Source organism: Homo sapiens, chromosome 11, assembly GCF_000001405.40.
Source record: "Homo sapiens chromosome 11, GRCh38.p14 Primary Assembly".
In the NCBI taxonomy this organism is placed as follows: Eukaryota; Metazoa; Chordata; class Mammalia; order Primates; family Hominidae; genus Homo; species Homo sapiens.
Window position 1 is genome coordinate 67,562,179 of NC_000011.10, and position 14,886 is coordinate 67,577,064.

At 45.1% G+C, this 14,886-nt stretch overlaps 1 annotated feature.

The window, feature by feature from the left end:
- Positions 806–2,005: an enhancer, noted in NCBI's record as "BRD4-independent group 4 enhancer chr11:67330455-67331654 (GRCh37/hg19 assembly coordinates)". NCBI's record gives its function as "activates an origin of replication core promoter dependent on BRD2, P300/CBP, MED14 and CDK7 cofactors, and independent of BRD4, by STARR-seq in HCT116 cells {active_cell/tissue: HCT116}" and the evidence as "EXISTENCE:reporter gene assay evidence [ECO:0000049][PMID:35650434]".

Consider the following 14,886-nt stretch of genomic DNA (forward strand, 5'->3'; position numbering starts at 1 on the left):
CCGAGGTTAAGATTTTGTTTGTCTTACTCATTAGAATTTGCAACCTTTTTTCTCATTTCAAATTTTGATCAGGGAGAAAATAGTTTCTCTCCGAAAAGAGAAAGTGAAATCTTTGTGGCTTCAGTGTCAAATCTGTAATCTTTCAAACTGGCCAGGTTCTGAGGCTCGGTTCAATGGTCTAAAACTGAGTGTTCCTCCTGAAGGCAAGATCCACATGAAAACATAGGCTGGATTTGTGTTTAACACTGTGGCGCGCCTCTTCATGCAAATATTTAGAAAACTGGTCATGCATAACTTGTGATGACCCAGCTTATAATGGCCAAAATGGAGGACTTTGAAATGCCTACATGAGTTCATCTGCATGCACAACTGGAAAAAGCTGGTTTTAGGAGCAGACAAATGGGGCCGGGCGTGGTGGCTCACGCCTGTAATCCCAGCACTTTGGGAGGCAGAGGCGGGCGGATCACTTAAGGTCAGGAGTTTGAGGCCAGCCTGGCCAACATGGCAAAACCCCATCTCTACTAAAAATACAAAAATTAGCCGGGCGTGGTGGCAGTCGCCTGTAATCCCAGCTACTTAGGAAGCTGAGGCAGGAGAATTGCTTGAACCCGCGAGGCAGAGGTTGCAGTGAGCCAAGATCACACCACTGTACTCCAGCACGAGACTCTGTCTCCAAAAAAAAGAACTAAACAAATGGAATGAGCGACTTACTTCCAATAGCACCTAGAAGCTTCTAAAAGACATTCTGAGAGAAAAAATTGCCTCCATTCAAGAGGTAAACAAAAGGATATTTGAAACTAGTTCTAAATTAAGAAAGACTTCGGAGGCTTTTTCTCTTTCTCCTCCAGCTGCCCCTTCGTCCTCTCCCCTGCGATCTGAACTCACCTCTCTCTGCTAGTTCCCTCGGCTCCCATACATCTCTCAGGCAGAGATTTTTGGAATTCCACAATACACACATTTCCTTCTCTCCAAAGGGGGGAATGTGTCTAAATTTGGAACAAAGGAAACAAATGGAACCACTTCACAATGAGAATGACTTACTAACATTATAAAATACAGATCCAACATTTTTTTTTCTCTAAACAAGGATGAATGAATGACACTGATGATTTATTGACCCAATATCGGACAATACCCTTTAAAAGCCCTGCTGGACTTCACAGTCCCTTGGAGATGTAAATCTTACCAGGTATTTGAAATGTTAACTTCCAGGGAATTGGCTAAGCCATGTTCTAGTTGAGATCAGATCTGAAACAAGTTAAAATCCTTTACATGTTCAAACTGCCTGCTTTGCTTCTGCTGCAGGCCTCACAAAGCAATGGGATCTGGTGGCTATGATTCCGGGCATTCACAGCGGCAGCCCGGGTTGGACTCCTGGTCAGGGAACCAGTCTTGTTTGTTTTAAATTATTGGAGTGACTCTTCACCTTTTGGGTAGCCATTTGTTATTGGTCCTCGTCCTTCCCATGGGCAGCTTCCGATTTCCTGTTTTTTCCCATCTGTGGGGCATATGGGGATTTTGAGCCTTTATGCATAGGTGGTCGGCTGAGAAGGTGACATCCTGGAATATGGCTGGACAGAAATGTGGGTCACGCTCCATTTGCAGCTTGTGATGTCAGAGGCATTTGAACCAGAGCAATTCCATCTTGAATGACCTACTGGGCTGCATTCCCAGACGGTTACGGAATTCTGAGTCACAGGATGAGATAGGAGGTTGGCACAAGATACAGGTCATAAAGACCTTGCTGATAAAACAGTTTGCAGTAAAGAAGCCGGCCAAACCCCACCAAAACGAAGATGGCGGCGAGAGTGACCTCTGGTCGTCCTCACTGCTACACTCCCATCAGCACCGTGACAGTTTATAAATGCCATGGCAACGTCAGGAAGTTACCCCATATGGTCTAAAAAGAGGAGGCATGAATAATCCACCCCTTGTTTAGCATATCATCAAGAAATAACCATAAAAATGGGCAACTAGCAGCTCTCGGGGCTGCTCTGTCTATGGAGTAGCCATTCTTTTATTCCTTTACTTTTTTAACAAATTTGCTTTCACTTTACTCTATGGACTCACCCTGAATTATTTCCTGCGTGAGATCCAAGAACCCTCTCCTGGGTCTCGATCGGGACCCCTTTCCAGTAACAGTGAGACTTTTCCTTCTTTGAGCTGTCTTTAGGGTGGTTCTGGATCTCGTGAGGATCACTTTGCACTTCTTTGGAGATGTCTTGTGTGTTCTTGGCTAAGTCATAACCTTGGTTAAGGGTTACTGGTTTTGGTGAGTCACTTGAAAAGGAACTTTTTTTTTTTAAGGTGAATTAAATGTTCATAAATGATAGGCCTTCAGGTAAAGTAGCCTTTCTTCTTTTTCAGAGCTATCCATGCTGAGTCCAGGCATGGAGAATGCTTTCTTTGCTTCAGGGTGAAGCTCTTTAATAAGCTTCACCCTGAAGTCAGTTATGTGATCAAGAAACAAGCTAAGACCGGGCACGGTGGCTCATGCCTGTGATCCCAGCATTTTGGGAGGCCAAGGCAGATGGATCATCTGAGGTCAGGAGTTCGAAACCAGCCTGGCCAACATGGTGAAACCCCGTCTCTACTAAAAATACAAAAATTATCCAGGCATGATGGTGGGTGCCTGTAATCCCAGATACTTGGGAGGCTGAGGCAGGAGAATCACTTGAACCTGGGATGTGGAGGTTGCGGTGAGGCAAGATCATGCCATTGCACTCCAGCCTGGGCAATAAGAGCAAACCTCCATCTCAAAACAACAACAACAACAACAAAAAAAAACAATTAGCCAGGCACGGTGGTGCACGCCTGTAATCCCAGTTACTCAGGAGGCTGAGGCAGGAGAATTACTTGAACCCTGGGGAGGCAGAGGTTGCAGTGAGCCAAGATTGCACCACTACACTCTAGCCTGGGTGACAGAGCAAGACTCTATCTCAAAAACAAACAAACAAACAAACAAACAAACAAACAAAAAACCGAAAACAAAAAACAAAAAACCCCAAAACCAAAATCAAAAACTCTGCTTCTTCTGTGTGTCTTTACACCTCTATATCTATATATAGATATATAGATTTTTCTTTTTGAGACAGAGTCTCACTCTGTCGTCCAGGCTGGAGCGATCTCGGCTCACTGCAACCTCTGCCTCCCGGGTTGAATTGATTCTTCTGCCTCAGCCTCCTGAGTAGCTGGGACTACATATGTGTGCCACCACGCCTGGCTAATTTTTGTATTTTTAGTAGAGATGGTGTTTCACCATATTGGCCAGGCTGGTCTCGAACTCCTGACCTTGTGATCAGCCCGCCTCGGCCTCGCAAAGTGCTGGAATTACAGGCATGAGCCACCGCACCCGACCACGTCTATATATTTTTATATGTCATGTGTTTGTGATATTTCACCGCCAAAATATATGAAAGAGCTCCAATTAATTAGCTTACGGTAAAAGAAAGTGTTTTAATCAAATGTTTCATCAGGAAAACAGAAACTAACTCAAAAATCTTTTAGTTCACATGACTTGGGTACATTTTTGGTAAATAAGACTAGTTCAATATTGTTGGCTTGGCTGGGCATGGTGGCTCATGCCTATAAACCCAGGACTTTAGGGGGCCGAGGCTAGAGGATCACTTGAACCCAGGAGTTTAAGACCAGTCTGGGCAACATAGCGAGATTGTGTCCCTACCAAAAAAAAAAAAAAAAAATTAGCCAGGCACAGTGGTGTGCACCTGTAATTCCAGTTACTCAGGAGGCTGAGGTAGGAGGATAGCTTGAGCCCAGGAGACTGAGGCTTCAGTGAGCCATGATCATGCCACTGCACTCCAGCCTGGATGACACAAAAAGATCCTGTCTCAAAAAGGTGAGATCCTGGAATGTGGCTGGACAGAAATGTGGATTGGAACCCATTTGCAGCTATAATAAGATAGTTGGCTTAATAAAAACAGCTCTCAGAGAGAATAAGAAAACAAAAAACAAAACAAACCAAAAAACCAGCTCTGTCTTCTGATCAGCAAAATACCCATGTATGTAAGCTGAGATTGCGCCACTGCACTCCAGCCTGGGAGATGGAGCGAGACTCCTTCTCAAACAAAAAACCAAAAACTGACAAGGGGGAAAGTAAAGTAAATTTATGTTCGAAAGTTGAATGCCAACATTCAACAGAGCTCTTAGGTGATGACTGCCTAACATTTGAAGGCTATAAAAATGATTAAGAAAGAAAGAACTTAGGAGGATGGTGAGCTTTGTTTATTGAAATATTCAAGCATAATTGTTGAGAATGAATAAATTAAATAAATGTCAATGGGGTAAAAGTTTAAAAAGGAACTTTTCATAGTTTCAAACATCTTTTGCAGAAACTTAATGCCGTTATGTTAACGACATATTAAGTAATTCATCATCATAAAATGTCTGAGTTGTTTATATGGTATAGAAAAACTAAATATATTTAGATCTGTTAATAAACAAAAAACCAATAAAACATTTTTCTAAAAATATTATGAAATGGTTTTCATCTACAAATACCGGTATAAAACAGTTTAAGGCCGGGCACGGTGGCTCACACCTGTAATCCTAGCATTTTGGGAGGCCGAGGCGGGTGGATCACTCGGATCAGGAGTTCGAGACCAGCCTGGCCAACATGGTGAAACCCCGTCTCTACTAAAAACATACAAAAATTAGCCAGGCATGGTGGTGGGCGCCTGTAATCCCAGCTAGTCAGGAGGCTGAGTCAGGAGAATCGCTTGAACCTGGGAGGCAGAGGTTGTGGTGAGCTGAGATCACGCCATTGCACTCCAGCCTGGGCGACAGAGCAAGACTCCGTCTCAAAAACAAACAAACAGAAAGAAACAGTTTAAAATGACATACTTCCTAGGTTTTTCACTGCAAATTAGGATTACTAAGAGTTAAAATTTGGCAGGGTGCAGTGGCTCACGTCTGTAATCCCAGCACTTTGGGAGGCCGAGGTGGGTGGATCACGAGGTCAGGAGATCGAGACCATCCTGGCCAACATGGTGAAACCCCATCTCTACTAAAATACGCAAAAAAATTAGCCGGGCATGGTGGCGCATGCCTGTAGTCCCAGCTACTTGGGAGGCTGAGGCAGGGGAATTGCTTGAACCTGGGAGGCAGAGGTTGCAGTGAATGGAGGTTGCACCACTGCACTCCAGTCTGGTGACAAAGCGAGACTCCATTAAAAAAAAAAGACTTAAAATTTTAGTTAATATATGTAAGTAAAAATACTAACTATAACAGAAACAATTCTATCTATAGAGTGTATACAGAAAGTAAGACATGTTTTTGGTTGGAAGGCTGAGGCAGGAGGATTGCTTGAGCCCAGGAGTTTGAGGCTGCAGTGAGCTATGATCATGTCACTGCACTCCAGCCTGGGTGACAGAGTGAGAACTGGTCTAGAAAAAAAAATGTGTTTTTGGTAAATAAGTTGAAAAGAGGGAATATGCTTTTCTTTTGCATGAGAAAACTCTGTGTGGTTAAACTGACAAGGGGGAAAATAGGTCGAGCATGGTGGCTCACGCTTGTAATCCCAGCACTTTGGGAGGCCAAAGCGAGTGGGTCACTTGAGGTCAGGAGTTCGAGACCAGCCTGGCAAACATGGTGAAACACTGTCTCTACTAAAAATACAAAAATGAGCTGGGCATGGTGGCACACACCTGTAATCCCAGCTACTCAGGAGGTGGAGGCATGAGAATCGCTTGAACCCAGGAGGTGGAGGTTGCCGTGAGCCGAGATTGTGCCACTGCACTCCAGCCTGGGAGACACAGCGAGACTCCATCTCAAACAGAAAAACCAAAAACTGACAAGGGGGAAAGTAAGGTAAATTTTTGTTCTAAGATTGAATGCTAACATAAAAAAGGGAGTATAGGATAAAACTGAAGGTTTAAGCAAGTCGTAGATTTACAGGAGATTAATCTCATGAGAGAAATTTTGTGTGTGATCAAGTTGGTTAAAATTGGAAGGGAATTATTTATAAGTTTTTCTAAAAAGCGAGCATTAATATCAAAAGCACTGATGCAAGGCCAGAGGCTGAGCCTGTGTCGGAACAACAGGGTTTTCGCTCAGCAGTGACCTGCTCTTTAATAGAAAATCCCAAGAGGTAAAGAAAGATTTATGGAAATCTTACCTTGTGTGGTCAAAGCTGACTGAGATTGGTTGAATTTGTTTGTAATATTTTATTAAAATTGGCTTTCATATTGATAATACATTAGTATAAGGTAAAATTTGGTTTTCTCCTTTGAACAAGAATTTAGCGTTGTATTAATAAGAGATACTAGGCCGGGCGCGGTGGCTCATGCCTATAATCCCAGCACTTAGGGAGGCCGAGGCTGGCGGATCACGAGGTCAGGAGCTCGAGACCAGCATGACTAACATGGTGAAACCCCATCTCTACTAAAAATACAAAAATTAGCCGGGCGTGGTGGCGGGTACCTGTAATCCCAGTTACTCGGGAGGCTGAGGCAGGAGAATCTCTTGAACCTGGGAGGCGGATGTTGCAGTGAGCCGGGATCACACCACTGCACTCTATCTTGGCTGACAGAGCAAGAATCCATCTCAAAAAAAAAAAAAAAGAGATAGTGAAAGATTTGTTTACCTTTTGAATAAACTGCAAAAAAAAAAAAAAATGAGTGGGAGAGTTTGCCTCAGGCTATCTTTATTGGGTATTTAAATTGTTTAGGAAACTGAGTCTCCTCTCTAATCCAAGAGTAAAGTTTTTTGCTTTTTGAAATCTTTGAGTTATCATTTTGGCTAAATTAATAACTTTTTAAAAAAATTTTCTTAGAGGCCAGGCATAGTGGCTCACGCCTGTAATCCCAGAACTTTGGGAGGACGAGGCAGGTGGATCACTTGAGGTCAGGAGTTCAAGACCAGCCTGACCAACATGGTGAAACCTGGTCTCCACAAAAATTAGCTGGGCATGGTGGTGCATGCCTGTAATCCCAGCTACTCAGGAATTACAGGCAAGCTGAGGCAGGAGAATCACTTGAACCCGGGAGGTGGAGGTTGCAGTGAGCCAAGATCGCACCACTGCACTCTATCCTGGGTGACAGAGTAAGACTCCGTCTCAAAAAAAAAAATATTTTTTCTTAGAGATGGGGGCTCACTTTGTCACCAGGCTGGAGTGCAGTGGCAAGATCATAGCTCACTGCAGCCTCAAGCTCCTGGGCTCCAGGGATCCTTCTGCCTCAGCCTCCCGATTAGCTAATAATATTAGCCTGGGCAACATAGTGTGACCCTGTCTCTATTTAAAAAAAATTTTAAATATTAGCAAGGCTGGCTAATATTTGACTTTTTTGTTTTTATAGAATCAGAGTCACACTATGTTGCCCAGGCTGTTCTCAAACTCCTAGGCTCAAGTGATCCTTCTGCCTTGCCTCCCAAAGTGCTAGAATCACAGGCATGAGCTACTGCACCTGGCCTAAATTAATGACTTTTATTTTATAGTAACCTGTATCCTATTTTGATTATGTGTTTTAAACCTTACTTATTTTATTTATTTATTTAATTTTTTTTTGAGATGGAGTCTTGCTCTTGTTGCCCAGGCTGGAGTGCAGTGGCGCGATCTCGGCTCACCACAAGCTCCACCTCCCAGATTCACGCCATTCTCCTGCCTCAGCCTCCTGAGTAGCTGGGACTACAGGCGCCCGCCACCACGCCCGGCTAATTTTTTTGTATTTTTAGTAGAGATGGGGTTTCACCGTGTTAGCCAGGATGGTCTCGATCTCCAGACGTCGTGATCCGCCCGCCTCGGCCTCCCAAAATGCTGGGATTACAGGCGTGAGCCACTGTGCCCGGCCAAACCTTACTTATTTTAATATCAAGTGTTTTGAACCTTTAATATTTGACATACTTCCAAAAATTAAATTTCAAAATTTTTGTTTTTTTTGAGACAGTTGTTTCACTCTGTTGCCCAGGCTGGAGTGCAGTGGCGTGATCTCAGCTCACTGCTACTTCTGCCTCCTGGGTTCAAATGATTCTCCTGTTTCAGCCTCTTGGTAGCTGGGACTACAGGTGCACACCAACATGGCTGGCTAATTTTTGTATTTTTGGTAGAGGCGGGGTTTCACCATGTTGGCCAGGCTGGTTTTGAACTCCTGACCTCAAGTGATCCACCCGCCTCAGCCTCCCAAGGTGCAGGGATTACAGGGGTGAGCCACCACACCTGGGCACCTAATTTAAATTTCAAATTTAGAAAAATTTTTGACATATTTCCCAAAGTTAATTAAGTCTTTTTTTATCTGAACTATCTTGGACACAAGAAATAGGAGCCCTTGGAAGTCCAAGAGAGAAATACTGGGCTTATTTGGTATGTTAAAATCATATACGGAGCATTGTCAAATAAGAAATGGTGTTTAACTTTCTTTTTTTTGAGATGGAGTCTCGTTCTGTCGCCCAGACTGGAGTGCAGTGGCACAATCTCGGCTCACTGCAACCTCCACCTCCCAGGTTCAAGCAATTCTCCTGCCTCAGCCTTCTGAGTAGCTGGATTACAGGCGCACCCCATCACACCCAGCTAATTTTTGTATTTTTAGTAGAGATGGGGTTTTGCCATGTTAATCAGGCTGGTCTCGAACACCAGACCTCGTGATCCACTCGCCTTGGCCTCCCAAAGTGCTGGGATTACAGGCATAAGCCACCACGCCCAGCTGGTGTTTAACTTTCTTTGAGTTATATTTCTATAAATGTGTTATTAATATGTGTTCCAAAATTGTATGAGATTCTTAAAATGACATGTCTCGGTATATGTTTTCAGTGATAATGTTGTTAAATTTTTGTATGTCACAGAAATAACCAAGTTTCCTTGTCAGTTGCATCTTTAACCATGGCTAGTCTAAGTTTTTTGTCATCCACAGACAATTATTGTTTTACTTTGATTCTCAAAAATTAGTTTATAATCAGCTACAGTCCAAAATTTGCTTCTTAAGGAAATTCACAGAAAACGATGCTGAAAAGTACTCTTGAGTATAGGTTTCCAGTAAATTTATTTATTAATTAAATATTTGTTTGCTTGTGTATGTTTTTTGAGACAGGGTCTCACTCTGTCACCCAGGCTGGACTGCAGTGGTGTGAACATGTCTCACTGCAGCCTCAACCTCCTGGGCTCCAGCAATCCTCCTACCCTAGCCTCCCGAGTAGCTGGGACTACAGGCATGCACCATCACGCTTGGCTAATTTTTAAATTTTTTGTACAGTCTTTCTGTGTCACTCAGGCTGGTCTCAAACTCCTGACCTCAGGTGATCCTTTTGCCTTGTCCTTCCAAAGTGCTGGTAAGATAGGAGAACAGGGAATTAGGGTAACAAAGGGTTAAGGCATAAGCAAAAAACAGCAGGGGCAGCCAGTTCTAGGCAAGATTAGGCAGCACGCAGGCCACGTCCTCACTCCTGTGATAACAAGACAGGAGTCTCCACTTCTGCCTCCGATTGACCACAGGCAGGGTCTGCACTTCAGCCTCTGATTGGTCACGGGCCAATCGCTTACAGGGTGTAACCAATTGGAAGCCTCTGCAGGGCACCTATGGTGTTACCAAATTCTTTTGGCTTAATAAAAACCCTGAAGCATATTGTAATTGGGGCTGCTTGAGCCTGCTCCCACTCTGTGGAGCGTACTTTTGCTTTAATACATCTATGCTTTCATCTTCTGTTGCTTTGTGCATTTTGTTCAGTTCTTTGTTCAACACGCCAAGAACCTGGACAACTCACAGTCAAGACTTTCCATCTGGTAACACTGGGACCACAGTCACGAGCTACCGCACCCTGCTCTGGTAACTTTAGAGATCATACCACTGAACTAAGTAAAAACTTCCAGAACCCTAATAAAGAACTGATGCATTCATGAAGATTGTGAACACAACATCAAGCAGAACGAGAATTAATTACGTAGGACAGAACCGATAGGGGACTAAAATGATTTTTATGACTTTTGTTTGTTTGAAACGTTGCTGATTCTTTTTATATTTTGTTTTCTAGAAACAAGAAAACTTTTTCTTTTGAGCTATTTATAACTCACAGCCATTGGGCAAAGTATACTTTTGTGAGCAAAATTGAAATATTTACCTTTCTCTCTACCTGATTTCTCCAAAATTTGGACACTATTTGTGACGATTCTTATTTTATTGCAATACAGTTATTTGCATAAGTTCAGTAAGACTATGTTTTCTTTTGTAACTGGGCACACTGAAGACACTCGTAATTTTACCAAGGCTTTGACTGTACTGGCATATTTTCAGATACAGCCAGACTGTTTTGAGGAGTTGAGGCTGATTTTATAGAGCCAGTAAAAAGTCCCTTGGAGAGATTGGTCTGGTACCTGGTTTTTATGGTTCCCTTACAAGCTTCCTGACCTTGTGGTGTGGGCGGCAAGCCACCCACGTGCCGAGGCAAGAGACGGAAGGCATGAGCTCTTCCAGCATAATAAAGAAAATAATTAGAATAAGAATAGTTATACTAGAAATAGAATATAGACATGATTATATATGAATATTATCAATCATTAGTTTGTAGCATTACTCTTTATTATATTAATCTCTGTTCTATAATTATTACCTGTTCTATACTTATTACCTAAGGAAAACCAGGCCATACAGAATTAGGAGCTGAAGGGACACGGTGAGAAGTGACCAGAAGGCAAGAATGTGAGCCCTCTGTCAAGCCCGCACAAGGGCCACTAGAGGGCTCCTTGGTCTAGCAGTAACGCCAGTGCCTGGGAAGGCACCTGTTACTTAGCAGACTGGGAAAGGGAGTCTCCCTTTCCCCCAGGGAGTTAGAGAACACTCTGCTTCACCACCTCCTGTGGAAGGCCTGCCATCAGCCAGGCCTGCCCGCAGCCATCCGGAGGCCTAAATGTCTCCCTGTGATGCTGTGCTTCAGTGGTCACGATCCTGGTCCACTTTCATGTTCCGCTCTGTGCACCTGGCCCCGCCTTCTAGATAGCAGTAGCAGAATTAGTGAAAGTATTAAAGTCTTTGATCTTTCCGAGAAATGCATAGAAGAAATAATGACGTAAGCTGTCCCCTCTCTCTCTCCGCCTCGGCTACCAAACAGGGAATGGCCCCGTTCGGTGGACACATGACTCGCGTGACCTTACCCTTACATTGGACTTTACATTGGAGATGACTCACGCTCCTTACCCTGCCCTCTTGCCTTGTATACAATAATTATCAGCGCGGCCAGGCATTTGGGCCTTCGCGTCTTGGTGGTAGTGGTCCCCCAGGCCCAGCTGTCTTTTCTTCTATCTCCTTGTCTTGTGTCTTTATTTCTACAATCTCTCGTCTCCGCACACGAAGAGAAAAACCCATAGGCCCTGTAGGGCTGGACCCTACATTGTGGTAAGGAAAGAATGTCACTTTCTGACAAGCCCAGGAACCTCAAGATATTTGGGACCTTGAGAAGAGAGGAATTCACCCAATTCATACAGGTACTACAGGCACAGGCTGATCATGAATCCATGGGTTGGCTTCAAAGCCTGGGGAGGCTTTCAAAAGTCCAACCTGAGATTCTTCATGAAAAAGCTCCAGCAAAGCCAATTTAAAAGAGCCTGTATGGCCATTCACTATTCTCATTGCACTTTTTACAAATAATCAGGCCAAGTATAATACTAAAACTTATTTGGCAACAAAATCAGCCCTACTAAGATTTCTTTTGATAGAAATGCAGAACTGGAGAGTGAGAGAGAATCAATCTTTAAAAAGCAAACTGTGGCACATCTGTTATTAGATTCCAGCCCTGACCATTGTTTTTGAGATTTTATTGTTTTCCTACAATTTTGACTAAATCTTGAATTATTTCCTGGCCACAAGTCTCTAAAGAAGGACTGGGTTTTAATTTTCTTCCTGATGTTTTTAGTTGATTCCCTGATAGAATAGGTTTTTGTTGTCATTCTGACATACAAATTCTTTGGTTGTGATTCTTTTTTTGTTTTTGAGGTAGAGTTTTGCTCTGTCGCCCAGGCTGGAGTGCAGTGCAGTGGTACGATCTCAGCTCACTGCCACCTCTGCTTCCCTGGTTCAAGCGATTCTCCTGCCTCAGCCTCCTGAGTAGCGGGGACTACAGGTGTCCACCACGACACCTGGCTAATTTTTGCACTTTTAGTAGAGATGGGGTTTCACCATGTTGGCCAGGCTGATCTCGAATTCCTGACCTCAGGTGATCTGCCTGCCTCAGCCTCCCAAAGTGCTGGGATTACAGACATGAGCCACCGCGTCTGGCCGGTTGTGATTTTTATATACACCCCTCCATTTTTTTTTTTTTTAAGAGACAGAGTCTGGCTCTGTCACCCAGGCTGGAGTGCAGTGGTGTGATCTTGGCTTACGGTAGCCTCCGCCTCCTGAGCTCAAGGGATCCTCCTACCTCAGCCTCCCGAGTAGCTGAGACTACAGGCACACATCACAACTCCCGGCTAATTATTGTACTTTTTTGTAAAGACAGGGTTTTACTATGTTGCCCAGGCTGGTCTCAAACTCCTGAGCTCAAACAATCCATCCACCTTGGCCTCCCTAAGTCCTGGGATTACAGGTGTGAACCACCACACCTGGCCTGTTTTACTCCCGAGAAAACTACGCTCATTGTATTCTGAACACTAGAGACGAAGTGACAGCAGGTATATAAATCAGACGGAGGTCTCATTTTTGCCACCCTGCAATGCCATCCTAATTTGGCTTTTGGTGCTCTTAAAATTCCTCTTTGAGATGTATTCTCCCCCGGCATCCCACAGCATCAGACGGGACCAGCCAGGGAGGAGCCTTCCTAGAGATACAAGGCTAAGACTAAGGAGTGAAAATGAGTTCACTTGAGATGCTGCTTTTTTTGAAAGATCTTGATGAAAAGGAGGGAAATGAGCAAAGAAAAGTAGCTCAGAGAAGTCTTAGCTGTGCAAAGTCTGAAAAATTCATCAGGCTCAGGGAGATGTGATCATGAAACTCCAGCGACCCTCACACCTGCAGCCACACCCCACCCGCGCAATTGTTTAAAGGCATTTCATTCCTGTTTCCTGCCTCACTCATTATGTTCATGTTCCTGGGATTTGTGATACAAAGAACAATGTACAGCCAGTTGATAACTTATGTTATTTTATTGTAAATTCTTGGTAAACAACTTAGGAACTGCCTCTGTCTTTTTAACTTAAAAACCTGGGCCTCCTAGCCTGGGCAACACAGCAAGACCCGGTCTCTATGAAAAAGTTCTTTTTATTTGTTTATTTTTTTTTTGAGACCTCCTGGGTTCAAGTGATTCTCCCGCCTCATCCTCCGGAGTAGCTGGGATTACAGGCACCCGCGATCATGCCTGGCTAATTTTTTTTGTATTTTTGTAGAGACGGGGTTTCACCATGTTGGCCTGGCTGGTCTTAAACTCCTGACCTCAGGTGATCCGACTGCCTTGGCCTCCCAAAGTGCTGGGATTACAGGCGTGAGCCACCCCACCAGGACAAAAAGTTTTAAAAATTAGCCGTATGTGGCTGTGCGTGCCTGTGGTCCCAACAACTCAGGAGGCTGAGGTGGGAAGATCGCTTGAGCCCGAGAGGTAGAAGCTGCAGTGAGCCGTGATTGTGCCACTGCACCCCATCCTAGGCAACAGAGCAAGATTTTGTCTCTGAAAAGAAATAAACAAACAGGCTGGACATGGTGGCTCATGCCTGTAATCTCAGCATTTTGGGAGGCTGAGGTGTGTGGATCACTTAAGGTCCGGAGTTCGAGACTAGCCTGGCCAGCATGGTGAAACCCCATCTCTACTAAAAATACAAAAGTTAGCTGGGCGTGGTGGCGAGTGTTAGCTACTCAGGAGGCTCAGGTAGGAGAATCGCTTTGAACCCAGGAGGTGGAGGTTGCAGCGAGCTGAGATTGTGCCACTGCACTCCAGCCTGGGTGGCAGAGACTCCGTCCCCCCCAAAAAAAAAAAAAAAAGGAAAGAGGAACATCAGGAAGATGGGGCGTGTGGAGACCCCGGGCCTGCCGCCCCTTGATACACCCCACGCTCTCTGCCCGCCTGGTCTCCAGCCACGGCTGCCACAATCAGCTTCCCACTGGTGACACTTGACAGCCCCTGCCTCAGAACACCTGTGGCTATCAGTTTCTGCCCTGAGGCCTCTCTAGCACAGATCACCTGCTGGAACCTCCCTGGTGGTCTCAGATGAGACCTGGAGTGCAGGGCGTCAGCAGTCATGAGCCCTTGAGTGATGGGGTGGGAGGCAGGACATACAGTCCCCTCTCCTCTGTCCCACCTGGCTCCTCAGAAGTCCCTAGATGCCAGCCCGATGACGCACCTCGGAGGGGCTCGTCCTCCTGCCCTGTCCCACTCTCCATCATCCTCCACTCCCGTGCCCTGGAACCACTCCCCAAAACAAGCCACTGCATACAAGCCTCGTCTTGGGCTCTGCCTTTTGAGAGACCCAGCCTAAGACAGCAGGGGGTGATTATAGAAATAATTCTGGGTAGTTTTTCCAACACAGAGAGAGGGACTGACACCCTTTTTCCTGTGAACACTTATTGACAGTCTTCCTCCACATGGAGAAGTAGATAAAACGCAAGCTCCAAAGCGCGGGGACTTTGTCTTCTTCCCTCTGCGTCCCCAGTGCCTTCAGCCATGCCTGGCACATAGTAGGTGCCCAGGAAACATGTGTTCAAGGAGGAAGGTGGGGGGCGGTGCAGCTCTGCTGCTCTGGGTCCCCTCCAGGCTGAAGCTGCATGTCTCTTTCTTTAGGGGAGCTGTCCTCGCTTCTGCACTCTTTGGTGTTGCCTCAGGAGGGTGCTAGAACCTTGGAGACTGGGTCTGGGACAGGCAGGACTGGGTCTGAGATGGATGATGCCTGGGGCTTAGCCTGGAGGGGAGGGGCAAGGTGGGTGGGTCCCCTGGTGGGTATCCTAAGACACGTGTTGGGAGCAGGGA